This window comes from Homo sapiens, chromosome 5 (genome assembly GCF_000001405.40).
Source record: "Homo sapiens chromosome 5, GRCh38.p14 Primary Assembly".
Classification (NCBI taxonomy): Eukaryota; Metazoa; Chordata; class Mammalia; order Primates; family Hominidae; genus Homo; species Homo sapiens.
Genome location: NC_000005.10, coordinates 157169908 through 157194995, shown reverse-complemented (window position 1 = coordinate 157194995; position 25088 = coordinate 157169908). Strand labels below are relative to the sequence as shown.

The 25088-nt window shown below is 41.1% G+C and overlaps 1 protein-coding gene across 1 annotated transcript in view, besides 3 other annotated features; it reads right to left on the bottom strand.

Annotated features, from left to right (window-relative positions):
* Positions 1 to 14156, bottom strand: part of ITK (IL2 inducible T cell kinase) — a 74346-nt gene extending 60190 nt beyond the window's left edge. Inside the window, exon 1 of the mRNA NM_005546.4 lies at positions 13881 to 14156. Within this exon, the coding sequence (NP_005537.3) occupies positions 13881 to 14018 (138 nt within the window). The 5' untranslated portion in view covers positions 14019 to 14156. The remainder of the gene's footprint in view (positions 1 to 13880) is intronic.
* Positions 5667 to 5756: a silencer, noted in NCBI's record as "silent region_16556". NCBI's record gives its function as "represses an Ori minimal core promoter by ATAC-STARR-seq in GM12878 lymphoblastoid cells {active_cell/tissue: GM12878}" and the evidence as "EXISTENCE:reporter gene assay evidence [ECO:0000049][PMID:35858748]".
* Positions 22320 to 22599: an enhancer, noted in NCBI's record as "active region_23501". NCBI's record gives its function as "activates an Ori minimal core promoter by ATAC-STARR-seq in GM12878 lymphoblastoid cells {active_cell/tissue: GM12878}" and the evidence as "EXISTENCE:reporter gene assay evidence [ECO:0000049][PMID:35858748]".
* Positions 22640 to 22749: an enhancer, noted in NCBI's record as "active region_23500". NCBI's record gives its function as "activates an Ori minimal core promoter by ATAC-STARR-seq in GM12878 lymphoblastoid cells {active_cell/tissue: GM12878}" and the evidence as "EXISTENCE:reporter gene assay evidence [ECO:0000049][PMID:35858748]".

Below are 25088 nucleotides of genomic sequence, written 5' to 3'. Positions count from 1 at the left end.
TGTCCAGTGGAGGTTATTACATTTCACTCTTGGAACTACTTAAAAGCAAATTATAATGAATTATGATTCATGTTGTTATCCCAAGGATTCAGTGCTCCCAGGCTTCAGTTTCCAACTTAGCTTGGCAATTTCTACCATACCCTAGTTCCCTCAAATAGTATTGTCTGCTCAATAGTATTCTTTCAATTGACTTATTTTTTCCACATAAACAAATTTATTCTAGGAGGAAACTTTAAATTACCACCATAAATTTTAAAACACTTATTTCTAACATAAATTATAGTAGATACATAACTATTAAAGACATGTTAAAACCAGATTTGTCCATGTGCCATCTTGTGTGCTCCTGATAGTACCCCACTTTGGGAAACACCAAATTGGATCATTGTCATGGAAATGGCCTCAGCATGGATTGTGGAAAAGGGTGAGGTTTGGTATTAGCTCCCTCAAACTCCCTTTCTGGGTCACTTCGCTAGGCTAATACTTTCCTCCTGGTACTCCTTGTATTACCACTTTGGATATAGCTTTCCCAGAATGTTATTCCCAGAAAAGGCTCAATAAGTGGCTAATGCTGCTATTAGTTGTTAATCTGGAAAATTAAATAGTGCTGAGGCGGATACAGCATCTTTCCTTGTCAGAGGCCACCCCAGGAACAGATCCTCAGGTTTACAAGTCCAGGAACTCATGTTTGTCAGCCCATAGAGTTCAGGTGAATGGAAACACACTCTGCAAAGTCACCAAAGACTGGCGAATTCACAAACTCGCAGCGAGAAACTGGCTGAGATGCTCGCAGTCGTGAAGGTAAGTAGAATTACCTTCTTGCAAAATGTAATTCTACTTGGGTAACCACAGAGATATCAGGACAGGTCACACTAATGTATGTAGGAGCAAAGTATAGGGAATCCTTATGTCCTAAGGCATGCTGTTGCCTTTACACTTTTCACTTTGCTTCCTTGGGTAAATTACTTACCGTCCTCGTAGCTCCATTGCTTCCTCACCAAAACAAAATTTTACTTTTATCTTGTTCAAAGAATTGTAAGGAGGAAATGAGAAAATACTTAACAAAGTGTTCAGTCCTCTTCTTGTAGTGATGCTAACTATTGTGGTTTTTTAAAAAAAATTGTTGCTGTTGATGATGTTTCTGCTGTCTTTCGGGTAAGTCTGCTGGGCAATCTGGAGCAAGCCTGCTGGTCCCGACTCAACACCTCTATTGGATTATGTTAGAAACTCACCAACAAATCCTTGCCCCAACTCTGCCTTTTCAGCTTCTATTAAAAGACTTATCAGACCCAAACAAGCTTAGATCTGAAAATGTCCATTGAAGAACATTTAATCCAACTTTTAATATTCGTCCTATATGTGTAACCTAGATAGAGATACTTAGTTTCTATAAACCTCAGCCTTCTCATAAATGACATGGGGATAACAATAGGATAACATAATGAATGTGGTTATTGTGAATATTTATGATATAAGACATATAAAACACTTAACCTTGATGCTATGAAACACAGCGAGAACTCATTAAATATTGGCTGTTATTATTTCAGATTTTGTATTGGTTACACATGAAATGTCTGACTTCATTTTTAGGGTGCGTTCTTGGGGTCATGCTTGTATTTTGACAACATGCTTTCTCATGAGCCACACAGTTATTAATCACCCTAAAGGTATTACTTCCTGGAAAGATTTCCATGTTTGGCTAATCTCCATCACTTTTTGTGAATTCCTGATATAATTGGCAGAGATACACAATTTCCACTTAAAAACAAAGAGAGATAGGGTCTCGCTCTGTAGCCCAGGCTGGAGTGCAGTGGTGCAATCATAGCTCACTGCAACCTTAAACTCCTGGGCTTAAGCAATCCTCTTCCCTCAGCTTCCCAAATAGCTGGACTATAGGTGTGCACAACCATGCCCAGCTAATTTTTTTATTTTTTGTTTTTGTGGAGATGGGATCTCACTATGTTACCCAGGCTGGTCTCAAACTCGTGCCGTCAAGAGATCCTGTAATGCCAACCTCTCAAAGTGTTGGTATTACAAATGTGAGCCAAGTTTCCATGTTTTTGAACTGGAAGAGTCTTTAGAAATCATTCAGTCCAACTTTATAATGTTAGAGATGAGGACAATGAGGTTTCAAGGTGACTTTCTAAACTGGCTTTGTCTTTTCATTTCTACTATTCAATTTACATCCCAGGGGGAAGGGTCACAGAGTTGGAAGATAACTTGTTGATCCCTGAAAGTAAGGGACAGGCCAAGGGGCATAGGGTTCTGGGCAGTTTCCCTGCCCTGCTTCAAGCAGAGAACTTCCACTTCTCTCTGTTTTATATGTGGGGATGGTGATGGCTTGTATAATTTTATATTAAAATGTTTTTTAAATTTTGAAAAAGCATTGATCAGCTGAATCCTTTGATTTTATGGACAAGAAAGCTAAATCCCAGAGAGAGTAAAGAATTAGCCCGGTGACCCGGGTCCAAATCTCTTTTCTATTAGGCTGCCCTGTTGTTCCTTGCTCACCTCATCCGCTTTTCTGGAATTACAGCCTGAGAATTTCAGTGTCATAGGCCCTGTCTAAAATTAAAACTAACTTCTACGGAACAGTCAAAAGTGGCTCCTGTGACACCTTCTTGTATTTCATTTGCTCCTTGATAAGGTGTTTCATGACCTAACCCAAAGAGCTCATTCATGGGAACCTTTCAGACCACCCCTACTCTGTGACAGTCAGTTCGGGCATTCAGGTTTTGCAGAGTAGGAGACCTTTTGGCACCCCTTAAATCCAACTATGCAGGTGGTGGGTTCATCTACATACATGTGACACTGACTTTAAACCAAACCATCTCACCTATGTATAAAAGATCACGTATTTTCCCCTCTCTCTCACTAAAACATTCAAAATGGAGTACTTGAAAATCACAACAGTGAGATTCTTTTGTTTCTATTAGTTCCTTTTTAGAAACATAATCTTCTCTAATGGTTCTGAAAACAAACATGGTGCCGCTTTTGGTGGCCCACACACTGCTTCTTCAATCTCTTTGGAAGATGATGTAGCAATAAATGATCAAGACCAGAAAATGTTCTTATCCTGTGACACAATTATCCTATTTGGGGCACTCTATCCTAAGAAGCTGATTTTAAAAATGAGACAGCCCTATATTATGTATACTGCTTTTTTTTGGTGTTTTCATTATACCTGGAAACAACCTGAATGTTGAACCATAGCTAACAGATAAGTTCACCTATTCCTCCACGTATATAAAATAGATAAGCATGTTCTTGCAATGAACTGACTCAACCATTAAAAAATCATATATATGAAAAATGATTACTTTGGAGGCATTGTAGATATATGGAAATACATTTATATGAAAGAATAGATAGAAAAGTAGAATATAAAATTGTCATGCATTATGATTATAACTCTGCAAAAGATACATCTGCATGAGGGAAAAGACCAGTGCTGACACAGATAGTAAATTGATGTCTTCAGACCAAATTATAGAAAACATTCTGAATGTACTTGGTTCATTAATTTTTTTTGACAATATGAGGATCAGAATATTCCTTGCTCTGTCTTGAGATTAATCAAAGCTGATTTAACTCAATTCTAATTTGGTTTCAGTCTTTGCTGCTACTGTCTATCTGAGCTCAGTGTTGATCCTGACGCAGGTTATACACCAGGCACTTTCCCATCAAAACATGGAGTGAGATGATTCTGGACAAAGTACCCCCAGGAAGAAGGATGCCACAAAAAAGTTAAAACATAAGACCACTGCGGAGGTTGCAGTGAGCCGAGACTGTGCCACTGCACTCCAGCCTGGGTGACAGAGTGAGACTCCGTCTCAAAAATAAAAAAATAAAATAAATAAATAAATAAATAAAAAAACATAAGACAACTGAAGAACAACTCGTAGGATGGGACACTACACAATGGCCCAGGAGACCACTGCAGGAGACTGTACCCAGCTTCCTGGCTTCTATTCTTGGCCATTGTATAATCTGCTGACCCCATAGCTGTCAGTTCACTTCTAGATGGAGGGACTCACACCCACTGCTTCAACCTTGGAAACTTTTCATGGGAGTTGGAATCAAATCCAAACTCCTTGCCATGATCCACAAGGGCCTGCAGAGTTTGGCTTCTGCCCCTCGTCTTGTGCCCCTCTCTTGAACTCTGCATGTTCAAATCTCTGTTCCTCACGCAAGCCAAGCTTTTTCCTTCCTCAGGGTCTTTGTACTTGCCGTTCCCTCTGCCCAGAATGCTCTTTCCCATTTCTTCATTTAACTAGTTATTTCCTCAAACTTCAGTTTAGCTATAAATTCCTTCTCTGACCACCCCACCTCCCAGTTCAGCCAGAGTGGCTGCCTGGTCTTGCCATAGAACCTACCACATTCTCTATCTGCCCTATGCAGTTATACACTTGCTTGCTGTCTGTCCCATCCCCTAGAATGCAAGCTATTAGGGTGGTGCACAAGTAATTGACCTCAATTAAAAACCTCAGTTACTTGTGCACCAACCTAAGACACCTGCCTCCATTACTTACCACTGCGTTCCTCACATCTAGCGTGGTGCCTGGCACAGAGCAGCTATTTACAAAATGTTTGCGGAACAAATGAATAAATTGAAATGTACCAACACAGAAACGTTTCCTTGATACAGAGTCAATAAAAACAAACAAACCAATAATAATCATAATAAAGATATGGCAAAATATATGAAGTTTGGGGGGAAAAATCCCTATAGTTGAATTTTTATAACAAACAGTTATAATTTCTGTGACTTTTTAAATATCAGAAAAGGAAAAATATAATGAGAAGCCTACTTACAAATAACTTTAGGTTAATAGGAATTATATGGCAACATAAGACATAAGAACCTGTATCTAGCTCTTATTTTATTAAAATACAGAAAACTTTTACTGAATTTCAAGGAACTGAGAAGACTGTTGATCCAAAAGGGGACTTTTATATGCATGGGAAGGCATTACAGACCTGTTTTCTCCTTAGGATCACTTTTAGTGAGGCCTCTGAGTGTCATGAAGCCAAACCCAAACTGACCTCTGGATGAAAATTATGTCCTGGAAGGTCTACTTTTTCCAGTAGGCCTCATAATTCACTGATGAATGGGAGGAATGTATTATTAGTTCGTTAAGAAAATGAGGGTGGAATGAGGATTTACTATTTGGTCCATGAACATTTGCGAAGAGCTTTAAAATAGTTTTTTGTAGACACGATTTCCACGTTTGATATTTACATGTCTTGTTTTACATGGAGCTTGTAGTTCAAGAAACTGAGCTCTTCTTCTTTTCCTTTTTTTCTGTTTTGTGACAGCACCTTGCTGTGTCGCCCAGGCTGGAGTGCAGTGGTGCGATCTCAGCCTACTGCAACCTCTGCCTCCTGGGTTCAAGCAATTCTCCTGCTTCAGCCTTTCAAGTAGCTGAGATTACAGGCATATGCCACCACGCCTGACTAATTTTTTGTATTTTTAGTAGAGATAGGGTTTCGCCATGTTGGCTAGGCTTGTCTCAAACTCCTGAGTTCAGGTAATCCGCCCGCCTTGGCCTCCCAAAGTGCGAGGATTACAGGCATAAGCCACTGTGCCCAGGCTGAAACTGAGCTCTTCTGCTTTCTTTCAGACTGAGTCAGAATCTAAACTCTCGTGTTTATAGTATTTCTCTGTGGGCTATTTCTACTGCAGAAACTGATGAATGGGTGTACCAGTCCCTGAACAGTAGGAATCAAATCTAATTTTATTGTGAGAAAAGAAAATATCAATACAACGGTTATCTCCATAAAACATTAACCTCACATTACACAGGCAAAGATCAATTCATGATGACACTCCATTAAAACAGATGCAAACTGTGCATGTCTCAATTGCAAAGTACTTTGCTTGGGCCCTTTCTTGTCTCTGTGTGGCTAGACAAGGCCCACATTTTTAGCTTTCAGATGCTTTTCTGAATGCAACATGAGTTATGTGACCTTCATTCATTCCCCGGATATTTACTGATCACCTACTACAACTAACCAGTGCCCAGAACTGTTTTAGATGATGGTGATACTGTGATGAAGAAGACAGTCAAGATCTCTGCTCTCATGGAACTGCCCTTCCATTAGATGGACAGACAGAAATTAAACAGGGAAGCAGATCCATAAACCTAACAAATAAATGCAGATACTAAGGTATCTATGTGCTTTGAAGAGATGGGAAATAAATCAACAACAGAATTAGCCAGGCGTGGTGATGCACTTCTGTAGTCCCAGCTAGTCGAGAGGATCGCTTGAGTCTGAAAGGCAGAGGTTGCAGTGACCCAAGATTCCGCCACTGCATTCTAGCCTGGGTAACAGAGCAAGACCATGTTTCAGACAAACAAGCAAACAAACAAACCCTCCTGCAAAAATCTGGGGTGTTTGAGACAGTGGAAACAGCTAATGCAAAGATCCTGCATCCTGAGAATGAGTGCCATTTTATGTGTGTGTCTCACTTGTCTCACCCTAGTCCTGGCCCTGTACAAAGGCCCTGCTGAGACCTTGAGCTTGGAGTGCTTATGGTTCAGGAAGAAGGCAGATGTGACAGAAGCACATAAAGGGAGTGTGGTGTGAAGTGAAATAAAGAAGGCAGGCTGGGACCACAGGATGAAGGGTCTTGAAGGGCATAGTTGAGAATTTATTTAAATACCCTAAATAGCCATGGAGGGTTTTAAGGTAGAAAGTAGTATCTGATTTAAAATTTTAAGGTTCATTCTAGGTGTTGTGTGGATAACAGACTGTAAAAAACTTCAAATGCCAGCAGAAGCCCAGCTGGAAGGCAACTGAATGACATGGGAATGAAGAGAAGAGAGCCCATGACTGCTCAATGTCACAAGTAAAAATGCCTGGGTAGTTTTAAGAATATTATCTGCATGGCGAGGCATGGTGGCTCATGCCTGTAATCCCAGCACTTTTGGAGGCTGAGGCAGGAGGATTGCTTGAGCCCAGGAATTTGAGAACAGCCTGGGCAATATAGTGAGACCCTGTCTCTATAAATTTTTTTTTTAAATAGCCAAGGATGATGGTGCATGCCTCTAGTCCCAGAAACTCAGGAGGTTGAGGCAGAAGGATCACTTGAGCCTGGGAAGCTGAGGCTACAGTGAGCTGTGATCCCACCACTGTACCCCAGCCTGGGCAACAGAGCAAGGTTCTGGGTCAAGAAAAAAAAAAAGAATATTATCTACGGAGGCTTTAGCTGTAAAAGGCAAGGAAGGAGGGGTAAGACAGGCAGAGGAAAAAGGAGAAAAGAGTTGCTTAATTCTCCTAAAAAGAGTTGAGGGCTGGGACCCGGCCCTCCTGCTAGTTCCTACATGTGCCTTTCTGACCCAGCACTTAAAATTCCAACCACCTGAATATCTGAATCTTCCTCTTCCTTGTTCAACGATAGGCCACACACTACTACCTCCAGGGAGTCTTTGTTACTTGTTTCTACACCCAGTAATCTCCCTTTTGAAGTCCTATGTCACTTGCCTTGGTCTCTATTATTTGGGTATTGAACCTTCTCTATTTGAGCTTCGTTTGTGTCTCTAACCTCTCCAGCTGAATCTATACCTTATGTCCTTACTCCCTCCTTTCTTTTCTCCCTTTCTCCTTTTATTCCCTCCACAAATGATGCATGAGTGAATAGTGTGTGCCAGACACTCTTGTAGACACTGGCAAGGCCATCTTTATCAACTTGGGTGCCTGCTCTCATAAAGCTGATAGTTCAATGGAGGGTGAGGTGGGGAAATTACATTAATACATCATCACATTAACAAATGAGTAGTTACAACTTCAGCATGTGCTGTGAAGAAAGGACACCTGGTGCTGTGGTAGAACAGGACAGGAGGACATGACTTAGTCTAGGGACATCAAGGAAGGCTTTCCCAAGTAAGTGACACTTAAAACGGAGGCTTTAACGTTGAAGAAAACCTGGTGTGGTTGGATTCCAGAGATGAGGGAAAGTGAGACATGAGCTGAGACAGACGAGACCATGTGTTAGATTCTGCTGGTGTCCATCGTTAGGGCAATGGGGAGAGCCGCTGTAGGGACACATCAACGTCTGATGAAGGTCATCAGGACTTGACTACAGTCACATGTGAAAAGCTGGTGCTGGTTGCCATGTGGAGGATGAAGTGGCAGGCAGGGGTGAAGCGGGTGCAGGGACAACATGAGAGGTGGTAGCAGTCCCAGGTGATAGATATGCTGACAGTCCCAGGTGAGAGATATCCTGTGGGAATCTGGGGAGATTCTAGGAGAACTTTAGGAGGCAAAGCTTGCCAAGGCTCTCTCTCTCTCTCTCTCTCTCTCTCTTTTTTTGAGACGGAGTTTCACTCTTGTTGCCCAGGCTGGAGTGCAATCGCACAATCTTGGCTCTCTGCAACCTCTGCCTCCTGGGTTCAAGCAATTCTCCTGCTTCAGCCTCCCGAGTAGCTGGGATTACAGGCATCTGCCACCATGCCTGGCTAACTTTTTGTGTTTTTAGTAGAAATGGGGTTTTACCATATTAGCCAGGCTGCTCGTGAACTCCTGCCCTCAGGTGATCCACCTGCCCCAGCCTCCCAAAGTGCTGGAATTACAGGCATGGGCCATCGTGCCCGCCTCTCTCTCTCTCTTTTTTTTTTTTTTTAAGACACATAGCGGGGCTTCTTGAAGTGAATAAAGACAAGGATTTGTCCTGGGGCATTTGTGGAAAACGTAGAGGTCCTAAAATATTTCATTGCAGAAGACCCATTTGGCAGGGGGTACCAATTTTCAGGACTGTCCTTTACACTGGGGACTTCAGAGCAAGAATGTATTGCATACTGTGTAATAACCCAATGGAATCCCTGATTACCTATGAGTAACAACTATGGTAATAAGTACTATTTATCAGAGAGTAATGTAGACTCTAGAGACGTGGGACATCAGGCAAGTTGTTTAAACCCTCTTTGTCTCAATTTCTTGACCTACAAATTGGGGTAATAACAGTTCCTAACTTACAGAGTGGTTATAATGGTTAGGTGAAATAATTCACATTTTTGCACAGTGTTGGACATGTAGTAAGTGCTCAGTAAATGTTAGTTACTATCTTATGAGAATAAAGGTGACCTCCATCTTATTAAAAGGAAATAAGATCATGAAGGAATGTTTAATTATTTTATTTTATTTTTGAGACCAGGTCTCAGCCTGTTGCCCAGGCTGGATTACAGTGGCATGATCACAGCTCACTGCAGTCTCAACCTCCTGGGCTCAAGGGATCCTCCCACCTCACCCTCCTGTGTAACTGGGACTACAGGCATGCAGCACCACATCTGGCTTTTTTTTTTTTTTTGTGGAGACGGAGTCTCACCATGTTGCCCAGGCTGGTTTCAAATTCCTGGGCTCAAGTGATCCGCCCACCTAGGCCTCCCAAAATGTTGGGATTGCAGGCGTGAGTCTCTGTGTCTGGCCTTGCTTAATTATTTTAAAAACATAGGCCAGGCGCGATGGCTCACATCTGTAATCCCAGCACTTTGGGAGGCCGAGGTGGGCAGACCATGAGGTCAGGAGTTCGAGACCAGCTGGCCAATATGGTGAAACCCCGTCTCTACTAAAAAAAAATACAAAAATTAGCCAAGCATGATGGCGCGCACCCGTAGTTCCAGCTACTCAAGAGGCTGAGGCAGAGGAATCACTTGAACCTGGGAGGCAGAGGTTGCAGTGAACCAAGGTGGCACCACTGTGCTCCAGCCTGGGTGACACAGCAAGACTCTGTCTAAAAAAAAAAAAAAAGATAGCTTTTTAGAGAATTGCACAGCATTATATAATTTATACAAAATCACACAGATCAAATGTGAGCTAGTTTTTGACCCAGATCTGTCTGATTCCAGAAGCAGTGTTTGTGATCACTAGCAGTAATGCTTTCAAAAGCAAGGAAAGGGGACCATCTCCCCACCTACCATCTTTAATTTAGAAAGGATGCTTGCTGCAAGCAGGAGATGGTTCTGTTGCTAGATAAGACTGTAGGCTAAAGGGAAAAGGCCATGAGGAGTGGAGACCCTCACCCAGATGCTTACTGGAATGGTGATCTTGACTGTTTCTCTTGTTCCATGTAAATGATAATGCCTCCCACATCATAAGGAGCACAGCACACTTGATCCCTAAGGGGCAAAGAGTCATCAAAATAGGAGAACCTTTCCAGTTCTCCAGAGGGGCTTTCAGAAGACCAAGGTGGTGCTTGGGCAAAATTGTGAGTAATAATCACCTTACCATGTAGCAATTGGTAAAAAGCTTATAACATACTTTTCTCATGAAATACTCAACATCACTTGAAGTAGGTAGTGTTGGGGTCCTTACTTTACAAATAGGACACAGGCAGAAAGAGGTCAAGTGTCTGGTCTGAGATCCCACATCTAGAAAGTGGCCACGTGAGCCACACCAATCTATGATGCTTTATTCCCATTTAGGCTGCCTCTTCCATCCTGTGCTTACTCAAAGTGCCTGAGGCTCTCCATTTTCCCTTTACCGCTGAAAAGGATCCGATATCAGTCACATGCAACTAAGTATGCTGTTTAGTTGGTGGCTACCTCTCCAAGGATCATTTGTACTTAGGCTTGCCGACGGTGTGCTGGACTCGGCTTGTACTGGCCCGAGGTAGCTAATTGTTAAGTTTTCAGGAATCTGTGAGCCAGCAGACATCACATTGGTAGTTTAAAATGGGCCATGATGGGAATATTTACACCAAAGGAATTGGCAAACACTATGAATCAGGGCTCTCCAACAAGCCCTGTACTCGGATTCCTAAGCATTTACCAGGACATCCATGTGCCCTTATCTCTCATTGTCCTCTGTCATAGAATTTCAGGCATCAGGGACAACTTGGAAAAAAATTGACAGGCACAGGAGAGCCTCTGAAATCATGTCTGTCTGCAAGCTACCACCTGCCAAATCTATGCTTCTTTCTGGCCCACTGCTCCAGCAAGATGAAGGCGCTTCTTGGCCCCTCTGAAAACACTTGCACATCTCAACAGGAAAAACAGGCATCGAACACCAGAACTAAAACCATGTTAAAGTAAAACCTCAATCAATTAGTATTATAATGACAATAGGCATGATTTTTTAGGTTAGAATAAACATACTTGATTTCTAGAATTACAGAATATGTTCTTGAGTATGTAGAAGGGTTATTTTTCATATGGTGTTATAAATTCATAGAATATGAGAACTGCAAGAATCATAATTTTACACATGAGAAAAGAGAAAAAGAAGCTCTGACACCCGACACCCTAAGAGGGGCAATAACTGGCCAAACAGCTCATAATGCATGTATATCTACCCCACAAAACTTATATTTAGCCACAGAATAGAAGGAATCCAGGACCCTGATCTTAGCTTGACTTTGAAGAATCCTTGAATATCTCCCATAATTTGAAAATGAATTGTTATGACAGCCTGCTAGCTTCTGTAGAGACATGAAAGGGATACAAATAATGGTTAATTTTTACTAGATGCTTACCAGATGACAGGGCCTATGCTAAGTACCTAATATATTAAGTTGAATTGTTTGAAACTTCTAATATCTGATATTCGATCTGCCAAATAATTTCAAAAAGTTCAGCCTAAAGACATTATACCTCTGAGTCTTTGCCATCTTCCTATGAAATGGGTACTATTATCACACCCATTTTACAGATTGAAAATGAAGCCTTTAATTTAAAAATGAAAATGTTCTTCCCATAAGTGTAATGTTATTTACTTATGAGTAATATTAATGCAGCCTTGTGTGCAAATTGGTGGCCTGAAACCATGTAGTATACCTAAGACATGAACAATAATAATTCACATATATTACCTTTTTCAGGGAACTTGGATAAATTTCTAATTAATAAACTTCTATAATAATTAAATAATTAAAGAAATACTTTTAAAATGTTATTTATAAGAGTAAAAAAGGCATTAGAAAACAAGAAATTTGATGTTTGGACATGTATTCTCTATATCTCACATGGAAGAATTAGAAACTGTAGCCTAGGGCTCCCCAGAATGAAGTAATTGTCTTGAAATTTTCCATAATGCTCAGATAAAGAAGTAGGGTGATTTTACAACCTTGTCTACATGCAAATTATGACCAATAATATTCTGAATTAAGGCCATCTGGTTTTGTGATTACTTACAAATAATATTGAGCTGAATTCACAATCAGTTCACAAATAGCAGTTGGGCTAAGGAATTATTAATACTAACTAAATGAGATGATACTATGTTGAATCAGAAAAACGAACTGGTGAAAACTGCAAAATGGACTTTGAAAAAAATATTTAAAGGTACATGACTGTTCTTTCAATATGAAACAAAAACTTTAAATGTTCCATTCACAAAAAAGCATTGAGTAATGCCATGCGATTTATTAGCTCTACATGATAAATCCCCCAAGTTCACAAACTGGGCTCCTGGCCACCTAGCAAAGAGGACTTGCACGTAATTCCATGTGTTTTCTGATTGACTGGTAAATTGTTATCAGTAAGAGTCTGATAATAAGACAAGCAATTCTTTTCACTTCTAAAGAGGCAGAGCTATTTCGCCTGCAACTTTTTTGTTTTCTGTATTTTTTTAATTCACAAAAGACATGCAACACCTGCAACTTTAAAAAGTGAGGCATCCATAGGCTCTATACCCAGCCTGACCTCCTCTGGAGCTCCATCTCATGAAGTGCTTTAAACCCTGGCACACCAAAGAATCCCAAACTCATGCCACCACCTACTAAGTCAGACTCCAACAAAGAACTGGAGCACTTTTGTTTCTAAGTGACCATCAGGCACCTAATATTATTTTCCCTTCAGTAAAATATAAGTGATAATCCTTGTCCTACCCCACTAATGATGTAAAAATAATATAACCATACAGTAAGAAATCAAACATGCTTTGAAAAATTGCAGCATAGGGCTAAACAAGAGCCACTGCATAAAGCAAAGAAGTTTTGAAGAAGAAAGGGATCTTGAAGGTTGTTATTTCCAGTTTTTTCATTTTATGAAGAAAGAACCTGAAACAGGAGGTAGACATTTGCCCAGACTGGATCACCTACTGAGAAGTAGAGTTTGGTCTCCTGACCCTTTGTCCAATGCTTTTTCTACCAAACTACATTATTAGGATTATTCCTGTTGCTTTTGTTATTAGTGATGTTAAGAAGCACAAGACTATTTTTAGATAAAGAGATAGACTGACCTAGCAAAGCAGCCATACTCCTTCTGGGTAAGAACCGCTGGTCTGCACTGCAGAAACTTTGTTCTTAATAACCCTGGTGTCCTAAGAAGTCTATCAAGAGATGAAGAGGTTTGCCATTGTGCCTTACAACTTTTAGATAATTAAATGCCTGGGAAATCTTATTTCAAGATCAGGCTAGCGACGAGTATTGAGACAAACAGAGTTATTCATGAAAACGTTAACACTGAACCCAAAACTTAACCATTCTAAACACCAGTTTCTTCCACTAAAAAATAAGAAAGCTGGGGTAGATCATCCCATTGAATGCTAGTGTTGTATTAATCTATGTTTCATTAAATTTAGTATGTTTCATTAAATTTAGTATGTTTCATAGAAAGTTCAAGTTTTATCGAATCATAATACTTGCTACCTAAAATGTTATTCATAATTTAAAAACCAAACATAACCTTGCAGGGGGAAAAAGCTGATGAATGTTAAATTTACAGTTTTTAGAACTGAAATCACCTAGCACCACCATTTCACCTCTTGACTGCTCTCTGCATTCTCCTCTGATTACTTTTACTGTACTTTTTATGTTGTTACAATAAGCATGTTTGTGTTTCCTGTGCTCTATTTTATGCTATGTATATATTTTTGCATTAGCCCAGTCCAAACATAAAATGCTATGCGAAAAAAGACAAATGAAACTGCTCACATACCCCATGACGATCTTCAAAGTATGCCAGGCTGGCTTTGGTTAACACAAAGAAGCGGACTTTAAAGTTCGAGGGAGAAGTTCTTCTCTTTTGTTGGGATTTCTTGATGAGCTGTTCTTCCAGGAGGATAAAGTTGTTCATGATCCAGTTCTTGAAAGGTGGTGCACCTTGGGCATCACCTCTTAGCACAACCAAAGGAAAGAGTTTTGGGGCAAAGAATGCAATGTGGAGGCAGTTGATCTTCAGAGAGCTGCTCAAGGGCAACTTGCCTTCAACGTTATCTTTCTATCAACGTTCAGCCAACATAGCTGAGCTTCTCCTCTGATGTCAAAGGCCGAAACCACATCCTTTCAAAATTCACAAAACGAGGAGGCATATGTAAAAAATACATACAGCCTTTGCTAATGGCTTGAAATGATATTTGAAAAACTGTAAACTCAAAATTGTGGTAAGGATTACAGTTTAATCTTTATAGTTCCTGGTTTAATCCATCCAGCAGTTAAATCATGTAGCACAAGGAGTAAGGACAATGTGTGGTTTTGCTTACCATGATATACTCAGCAACCATCACAGTACCTGACACATAAAACAGATGTTCAAGAAAAATTTGTTGAATGGATCATCACCAAATTGGGTTGGACAATTAAAAGAGGTAATGAGCACAAAACCCTCACACATTAAAGTGAAGAAATATGTTGCTGAAGTTTATTAGTTTTTAAGATTTAAATTAAAGCCCATAGAAATTTCTCAATGCTACATATAGATGACTGCCTTTCTGTCCTGACGTTTTGTGGAAGAGTGAAAAATAAGTGAATCCTTCAGAATGGCATAATAAACAAAGTATATGTGGGCTTTGAAAACAGACAAACTTGTGTTGGATTCCCAGCTCTGTCACTTACTATGCTGTTTCTCTTTGAGCAAGCCATGACTTCTCTGATCCTTAGCTTCCTTGTGAGGGTCCTTTGGAGGACTGAATCCCATACATCTTATGAATGGTAGGTGCTAGTCATACATGTCACCTTAGAGTTAGTACATAGTTGAAGTATAATGTGTGACAGTTACCTCTACTATGTTAATAATCAAGAGATTTTAGTGTAAGCAGATATTGCATGTAGTGGGTAGGGATAAATAATAAATGAAATAATAATTATTGCTGTATAGGAGTGAAATTCTCCAATGTTTATTTTTAAATGTAAATTACCAGACAACAGCCTAATTTTATTTCATATACTGGATGCCCCAGCATAATCAAGACACCCAGGAGGGTACGGTACTGGTATATTTTAAATTACCTCCCCCATTCTGAGATTCTTAAGACATATGTGTGGAAATACACTGCCCAAACAAGATAGTATTTTTTTTTTCTGAGTATGGGCTTGAGGTAGGGATTGCTACTATTCCCAAATAGCTACTCTCTCCTTCTTACTAGAGTAACAGAATCCCTGACAGTTATCTGGGCATCTGGCCAGCAAGAATAAAGACTACAAATTTTAGCCTCCCTTGTAGCTAGGTGTAGTTGTATGACTGTCTTCTGGTCAACTGAATGTAGCAGAAGTCGTGTGCACAACTTCTAGGAAATTTCCTTAGTGGGATCTGTCATCCCCTTTTCTTTCCCTTTTCCTCCTGCCTTGTGACTAGAATATTGAGGTAACAGTTGGAGCTGAAGCAGCTATCTAGTATCATGAGGTGGAAATTGAATGTTGAGGACAATGGAGTATAAGATAGAAAGAGCCTGGGACCCTGGTGACCATGGATCTTCCATGCCAGCCCTGGATTACATTTTTTAATATCTATTTTCTAAGTCTCAGTTATTTTGAGGTTTCTGTCACTACCAGCAAACCTAGATAATACAGTGCTATCTTCTCAAACTAGACTACAAACTCCTCTGAGGAAAGTACATTTTACACCTGCTTGGTTCAGATGAAAAGAGTTATAGACTTCACAAAGTGTTCTCATCCGGGAAAACAAAATATCATCAGTAGCTGTTGCAATACTTAGGAGTCTTTCGTTTGCTCAGTCTACATGGAGTGTCATCGTAAGTAATTTTATTCTCTTTCTCATAGAGCCATCAAACCCACTAACTGAGACTCATCTTTGCCAACTTTTAAATGCAAACTTAGGAGGCTCAATATTTTTTTCTCACTTTAAGGAAAACATAAACAAAAACAAATAGTCCCTTTGTTTGTTTTGGTTTTAAAAAGTTCACTTCATAGGAGCCAAATTCAAGGAGTTCCCACTTGCCAAAGATGGAACAATTTGAGTATCAAAAGGAATAATAATTGCCATGAATTGAAGAACAGCAAAAATGTTAAAACAATGAGTTCAAAAGAGAATTGAAAAAAGCATCCCAACCTTTTGATCACTTTTGGAGGATGCTGAAGAACCAACTTGTTTTTCTGAAAACTGGAAACAAAGGAAAAAAATAAAACATATTGCTTGCTTTTCTTGAAGAATTATCTTTCAATTCAGTGATCAAGTATTTAATGAGGAAGTTCTTTTTTTCCAAGAAACTAATCAATGAAGGAGTGACAGAATACTATCGTTTTGCAATGCCAATGAAATAATAAATGTAGGCAATGATCATCAATGGCTGTTAAAATTATTACGCAAAAAGCCAATAGGAAAATGTATAACTGTCATATGAAGCTGACAACACTGTAACACACTGATTAATCTTAAAAGAAGGACAACCAGACATTGTATGTCTCCTGAGGTGAAGCAAGAGGAAGTACACAAAACTGGCAACTCGGGAGTCTTGCCAAGAGAAAACAAAATCAAACACAAATCTAATCAAACTTCGAGATATAAATTCGAGTTTACAGGAAATACAAGAGATAAACGAACCTGACAAATGACACTGTGGAGATGCAATTGGATGAGTCCAGAATACAAAACATGCTAAGGACAAATGACTCAGTATCAGTAACAAATAAGTCATAGAGGGCAGGGCACGGTGGCTCATGCCTGTAAGCCCAGCACTTTGGGAGGTCAAGGGGGTGGATTGCTTGAGCCCAGGAGCTTAAGACCAGCCTGAACAACATGGTGAAACCCTTTTTCTACAAAAAATTAGCCAGGCATGGTGGCACACACCTGTAGTCCCGCCTACTCGGGAGGCTGAAGTGGGAGGATCACTTGAGCCCAGTGGGTGGAGGTTGCAGTGAGCTGGGATTGCAGCACTGTACTCCAGCCTGGGTAACAGAGCCAGACTCTGTCTCAAAAAACAAAAGCAAAACAAAACAACAAATAAATCAAAGGGGGAACCCTTAGATTAAAAGAGACTTTAAGAGACATATGAGCATGTTTGGACTTTGGATTAAGAGTTAAGCAAATCAACTGTATAAAGACGTTATGAGACAATTAGACAAATTTGAATGTTAAAGAGATGTTTGATAATACTGAGAAACTTGTTATTTTTTAAGATGTAATAATGGGCTGGGTGTGGTGGCTCACACCTATAATCCCAGCACTTTGGGAGGCTAAGGTGGGCGGATCACGTGAGGTCAGGAGTTCGAGACCAGCCTGGCCAACATGGTGAAATCCTGTCTCTACTAAAAATACAAAAGTCAGTGGAGTGTCGTGCTGTGTGCCTGTAATTCCAGCTACTTGGGAGACTGAGGCAGGAGAATCGCTTGAACCTGGAGGGCGGAGGTTGCAGTGAGCTGAGATGGTACCACTGCACTCCAGCCTGAGCAACAGAGCAAGACACCATCTCAAAAAAAAAAAAAAAAAAGATGTAATAATGGCACTATTATCATGTTAAAATAGTCCTTATTTTGTATAGAAACATACACTGAATTATTGATAAAACAATAAAATGTTTATGATTTGCTTCATCATAATCCAGTGGAGGGGGAGAAATTGGTAGGGGAAGGGATGAAAACTGTTTGACCATGACTTGATAATTGCTAAAGCTGGCTAATGGGTACATCATTATTCTACTCTCCTTGCACCGATGCACGTTTGAAAATTTCCATAATAAAAAGTTAAGCAAAGAAAAAGGGGCTGGGCGCGGTGGCTCACGTCTGTAATCTCAGCACTTTGGGAGGCCGAGGCGGGTGGATCACCTGAGGTCAGGAGTTTGAGACCAGCCTGGCCAACATGGTGAAACCCCGTCTCTACTGAAAATACAAAAATTAGCTGGGCATGGTGGCAGGTGGCTGTAGTCCCAGCTACTTGGGATACTGAGGCAGGAGAATAGCTTTAAACCCAGGAGGCGGAGGTTGCAGTGAGCTGATTGAACCACTGCATTCCAGCCTGGGTGACAAGAGCAAAACTCTGTCTCAAAACAACAACAACAACAACAATACAAAGAAAAGAAAAAGAAAGCCCAGTTCAGTTCAAGGTAATAATCAAAACTCCAAACATGTATTCAAGTTGATGCTTTTCCGTAACTTTGCATGGGTTTGCTTCAGGATTTGAAGCATGTTGGCTTTTCCACCATGTCCTAACCTCTCTTTTCCCACACACAAGCCTGGTTTCTGACACACCTGAGTCGGAAGCTCAGGCTGGAGGGAAAAGAGGAAGAGGGGTAAAGGGTGCAACGTTCATGAAGCTGCAGCAGTAATCTGGGGATGATGTCCTTGGGATGTGGTGGATGAACAATTGCTGCTTTTTCTTGCATGTTTCATGTGCTTTGCTGTTTTCAGAGATTTTCCAGCTGAAGGTTCTGACAACTGTTTCCCTGATGTAGGAGTTGCCACTCTCCTTGGCCAAGGAGCCCAACCCTCAGCCCTTGGGCTTTAGCTGTTCCAGCTCCTGTCGGGATTCATTTGTCCTGTCAGGACATAGGTTGTCCTCTTGGGTAAAATTTCCTTGAAAATGAACCACAGAGGCTGGGCATGGGGGCTCACGCTGGTAATCTCAGCACTTTGGGAGACTGAGGTGGGAGGATCCCTTAAACCCAGGAGTTCAAGACCAGCTTGGGCAACACAGGGAAATCTCATTTCTATTAAATAAAGAGAAAAAAGAGCCAGGCAAGGTGGCTCATGCCTGTAATCCCAGCACTTTAGCAGGCTGAGGTGGGCTGATCACTTGAGGTCAGGAGTTCAAGACCAGCCTGGCCAACATGGTGAAATCCTGTCTCTACTAAAAATACAAAAATTAGTTGGGTGTGGTAGCATTCGCCTGTAGTCCCAGATACTTGGGAGGCTGAGGCAGGAGAATTGCTTGAACCTGGGAGGTGGAGGTTGCAGTAAGCTGAAATCATGCCACTGCAATCCAGCCTGGGGGACAGAATGAGACCCCGTCTCAAATGAAGAAAAAAGAAACAGAACCACATACCACTTATTCCCTCCCATGGTTCTACTGGAAGACTCGGGCCTCCTGTCCCAGCCAATGATGGATATACCATTTGCCCCAAGTAGAGCCCCCTTTCCCTCTGACACCGAATAAGTAGCTCTTCCACAAACTTCCACCATTATGTTTCTCCAGTGGGATTTAGACACTAGTCCTTATAGCTGCAAAACTCTGGGACTCACACCAAGCTCCCTGAAGAGTCTCTTAAAGTCCCTTTTGGTTGGCTTCTGGTAGATAAGCACCCACCCACCTTCCCCTGTGGGCTAGTGGTGAGAGGAAACACAGAGCCCCCAACATTCTCTCTCTTGCATTTTCATGCCTTGTTTTCTAAAGGCTGAAGGTGGGCGAACGCTATTACTGGCAGAATCTGTTTTGCCTCTTAATGCGTCAAGTGTGGATGGAGGTACTTCATTCCCTTTATCACATTAATATAGGGCTTTGGGGCCGCAACTGAAACTGGGTTGGAAAAAACCTAATTTAACCCAATTTCTATAACAAAGGAAAAATCAATTCAACCTGGCACTGCTGGGTCCGCTGGTATTTAACGACGACATCAGAGGTTTTGGTTTTCATTCTTTAGTTCTGAGCTGGTTTCATGCATGGGCAAGCTGTCCTCCATGGCAGCAAAATGGCTGCTGGGCTAACATCTTACCAGTGGAGCTAGATCTCTTTCCTTATAGTTCTAGTAAAAGTCCCAGAATTTTGAGTCATTGGCCTAGCTCACATGATATGCTCGCAGGTACCTCAATCATTAGAGCCAAGACAATGGAATATTCATTTGACCCTTTCCAGGCCTGGACACACTCCTGGATCTGGGAGTGGGGTGGAGTCAGCCCTACCCAGCCACATGGACCTACCCATCCACAGATGGGGGAGGGATGGTTCTCTGAGGAACACTAGAGTGTTGCCACTAGAGGTAGGGGAATGGCTGCTGGATCAGATAAATGATTGCTCTCTTACTGTTACCTAAAACCCATCTTTGTTGCTTTATCTTTTGAAGTCCTACAACTCCAACCTTCTCTAGTCCGAGGACTTGCCCTTTGGATAACTCCAGGGCCCTCTTGTGTCCAGGCCAAAGACATCCTTCAATTGTCCTCTTTGGATGTGGCTTTGAAGCCCTTTAATTTCCTTGTGGTTCCCATCCAAACTTAATTAGGTTTATTAATATCCATTTAAGAATCATATCCAGAATATTTTGGCACCTACATAACTTCTTTCTTCTGAAAACAACAACAACAACAACACCTTACGTTTGCTAGAGCTATCAATTCTAAGGGGGAAAAATAGCGTGAGCACAGAGAGGTATCTGTACAAGATATTTATTGCAGTGTTTTTTTTTTTTCTTTTTTTGAGACGGAGTCTTGCTCTGTCGCCAGGCTGGAGTGCAGTGGTGTGATCGTGGCTCACTGCAACCTCCGCCTCCCAGATTCAAGTGATTCTCCTGCCTCAGCCTCCTGAGTAGCTGGGATTACAGGCATGTGCCATCATGCCCAGCTAATTTTTTGTATTTTTAGTAGAGACGGGGTTTCACCGCTTTAGCCAGGATGGTTTTGATCTCATGACCTCGTGATCCGCCTGCCTCGGCCTCCCGAAGTGCTGGGATTACAGGGGTGAGCCACCGCGCCTGGCTATTGCAGTATTTTTTTGTAATGGAAACTACTTCTCTGTGCATCAATGAGAGACAAGTAAAATAATCTATGGTGCATCCTTACAATGGAACACTACAAGGTTATGGAAACCAATAATGTATATTCATAATGTATCAACCTAAAAAACTTCAGGATATATTGTTAACATGGAAAAGGTGCAGAACAATATGTTTGGCTTGTATGTTTTTATGTTTTGTTTTTACATACAAGCCATACATATTGTTCTATACCTTTTCCAGGTATATTTTGTGTTTATATTAATGTATGTTTAAATGTACATGGTGATAGCAGGAAGTTTGTATATCAAAATTCCAGCATATAAAACTGGAAAGGTAAAGAAATGTTTTGCTTTTTAATTTACATAATTTAAAAGATGTTAAAATGGAAGGATTTTTTACTTTCCAATTTAAAATAAAAGAAAAATATGTCATTTGTCAAAAATCATTGGTTTGATTCGTAGAAGACAATAATGACTGAAATGGCTAGTAAACTTAGAGCTAATTTTTTGAAATATATATTTCTGGTAACAAAAGTAAAATATATTCTTGGTGGAAAGAGCAGACCAGCAAATAAATAAAAATTACATCTAATCTCATCCTTCAGAAATAATCAATGTTAATATTTATTTTACATTCTTCCAGTATTTTTTCAGAGTTAAATTTAATATTTACTTAGAATAATCATTTTATCCCAGCTACTGGATCAGTTACCTCCTTCTACCTGTAGACAGTTTCTGATCTTTTTTTTTTGAGACAGAGTCTCGATCTGTCACCCAGGCTGGAGTGCAGTGGCGTGATCTCGGCTCACTGCAACCTCCGCCTCCCAGGTTCAAGTGATTATCGTGCCTTGGCCCCCAGATAGCTGGGATTACAGGTGCGCACCACCACACCCAGCTAATTTTTGTATTTTTATTAGAGATGGAGTTTCACCATGTTGCCCTCGTTGGTCTCGAACTCCTGGCCTCAAGTGATCCACCCGGCTCCGCCTCCCAAAGTGCTGGGATTACAGGTGTCAGTGACCGCGCCCAGCCTGATCTTTATTTTTAATGTTAAGTGTTTTATTATGGTGCGAGTGTGTCTGTGTGTGTGAATTTAGCTGCAAGTTTCTTCAATGTAACATTAAATAAATAATATGTAAACGGAGGCAGGACATCTCATGATTTGTAAACAGAGCAAAACAGGGAGTGGAGACAGTGAAGTTGTCCTAAGCCTGTGTGAGCAGGGAAGGATTCCGCTTGGTAGTGGGGCCAAATATGCTGAGCAGGGAGCAGGAAAGAAGCAAGACAGGATGAGAGATAGGAGGGGGAAGACAGGCGGTGCTAGTTGGATCATCATGTTGAGAAATAAAATTATTTTGATCCCCTGTCTGACTTCTTTTTTGTATGTATACCAGTTCATTTTCCTTTTCAACCCAAGGCAGAGAGGCAGGCTGATTTGCATATGGTCCTCAGGGGAAGAGTTAGGTGACTGTAGTCTTTTCAGAGCCAGAAGATAAGGCAGAAATCAGGTTGGCTTCCTGAAGTCCTAGGTGCCCCAGGCTGACCGCAGCTCAGCCCACGCCACCTCTGCTGAGCAACATTGACATAAAAGCACTGTGGATTGTATTTTAGGCCAGGGGATTTACCCAGCCTGTACATGCTGTGTATGGTATGGAAATCTCCCCACCCTCACATCCTGCCTAGCTCACAATGCTCCCCTGGGCTGCACACTCATTGAAAAGGCTATATATAGCTGTCTACTTCCCTTGCTTTTCAAAATCATAGATGAAGAATAAAAGTTATTGACTTGAAACCACTTCCCACAATGCACGTTTAGACTTCAGCCTTCTATAATCTTGTATGTCTGCATATACTGTGCCTTGTATATACTGTTTTGTGTTATCACTCTTCACAGCTCTTCAACCTTAGGCTCACTTAAAATGTATGCAAAACTATCCTTAGAATTGTGATTTTGATTGTTTTTCTTCTTAAGAAACAATTATTGTTGGTTTTGAATATAATGGTAAAGGGTATTAGAGTCACCGTTCATTCAACCAATTTGTTATCACTCTACTGTGTATTTACTTGCCCTCCTGTTTTCTTCTGTTTTTTCAGTGTGTGTTCTACTGATTGTAAGCTCTCTAAAATTTGGATTCTAGCTTATCCATGCTCTACCACATTCCTCATCAAGAAACATTACCCAAAACTTGTAAATAAAAATCAAGTAAAGCAGGCAATATGTACTTCTGATGTCATATTAAAGCCTTGTTTAACATGCCTGCCCAGGGATTATTTAATTATCTAAGAGAATGATGGAAGACAATGGGATTGGATCTATAAGTCAAGACTGACGTGTTGCTATTATCTTCAATAACTTTATTGAGATATGTTTCATTGACCATAAAATTCATCCATTGAAAGTGTATAGTTTGGTAATGTTTGGTATATATTCACAGAGTTGTACAGCCCTCTCAATTTAATTTTTAGAACATTTTCAACACCCTAAGAAGGCTATCCATGACTGATGAAAGTCTTACTCTGTGAAGGGAATGTCCTAGAAATGAAGTCTCCATCTTGCTACTTCCCTGAGAGAGCAAGTTGACCCAAGGTAGCTCCTACTACCAGTTCCTTTCAAACACACACACACACACACACACACACTCATACGCACACATACGCACACTTTAAATTTCTCATTAAATAACATATGATGTACCACATATGCTATTTTGCGACATACTTTTTTGTGTGCCCAGTATCTCAGGCCAAGCAACTTGCTTTTTTACTTGCTAATATTTATTGGAAATTGTTCAAATCAGCATACCTAATAGTTGCCTCAAAGTATGCATGGTGGCTGAGCACTTCTCATTACTCTCACTGCTATCACACACGTCTTACCCCAAATCATCTCTTGCAGGAGTTGCCCCGTCTCTACTACTGTCTTCCCTGCACTTCTACAATCTCTTTTTAATATGGTGACCAGAATCATCTTCTATATTTATGGTTTGGATCATCCACCATTCAGAGCAAAGCCAAAGACCTCTCAGAGCGCTACAAGGTCTATCCAACATGATCTGCTCATCCACCACCACCCCAGTTGCCTCTCAGCCTCATCTCCAACGACCCTCCTCCTAATTCACTCTACTTTCATCACTGTAGCTTGCTTGGAGCTCCTTAAACATACCAGGCATGCTCTCATATCAGGGTCTTGGCCCTTGCTGCTTCCTCTGACTGAGAAGCTCTTTCCCCAGACATCTTCATGGCTTCTTCTCTGATCTCCTTTATGTCTTTGCTCAAAGGTCACTTCTGGGCCAATCACAGTGGCTCACTCCTGTAATTCCAATGCTTTGGAAGATTTGAGGTGGGAGGATCGCTTGAGGCCAGGAGGTTGAGACTAGCCTAGGCAACATAGCAAGACCCTGCCTCTGCAGAAAAATTTAAAAACTAACAGGGTATGGTGTGGTGCACCTGTAGTTCCAGCCACTTGGGAGGATGAGGCAGGAGGATCACTTGAGCCCAAGAGTTTTGAGTCTGCAATGAGCTGTGACCACATCACTGCACTCTAGCCTGGGTGACAGTGTTGGGGGAACCTGCCCCCGATAGTCACATAGGTTCTTTTCTATTTTCCCTAAGTGTTGGCCAGTCTGAGAAATAAAGGGACAGAGTACAAAAGAGAGAAATTTTAAAGCTGGGTGTCCGGGGGAGACATCACATGTTGGCAGGTTCCGTGACATCCCTGAGCCATAAAACCAGCAAGTTTTTATTAGTGATTTTCAAAAGGGGAGGGAGTGTATGAATAGGGTGTGGGTCATAGAGATCACATGCTTCACAAGGTAATAAGATATCACAAGGTAAATGGAGGCAGGGTGAGATCACAGGACCACAGGACCAGGGCGAAATTAAAATTGCTAATGAAGTTTCGGGCACGCATTGTCATTGATAACATCTTATCAGGAGACAGGGTTTGAGAGCAGACAACCGGTCTGACCAAAATTTATTAGGCAGGAATTTCCTCGTCCCAATAAGCCTGGGGGTGCTACGGGAGACTGGGGCTTATTTCATCCCTACAGCTGCGACTGTAAAAGACAGCCACCCCCAAAGCGGCTCTTTCAGAGGCCTACCCTCAGGGACACATTCTCTTTCTCAGGGATGTTCCTTGCTGAGAAAAAGAATTCAGCCCTATTTCTCCCATTTGCTTTTGAAAGAAGAGAAATATGGCTCTGTTCCGCCTGGCTCACCGGCAGTCAGAGTTTAAGGTTATCTCTCTTGTTCCCTGAACATTGCCGTTAT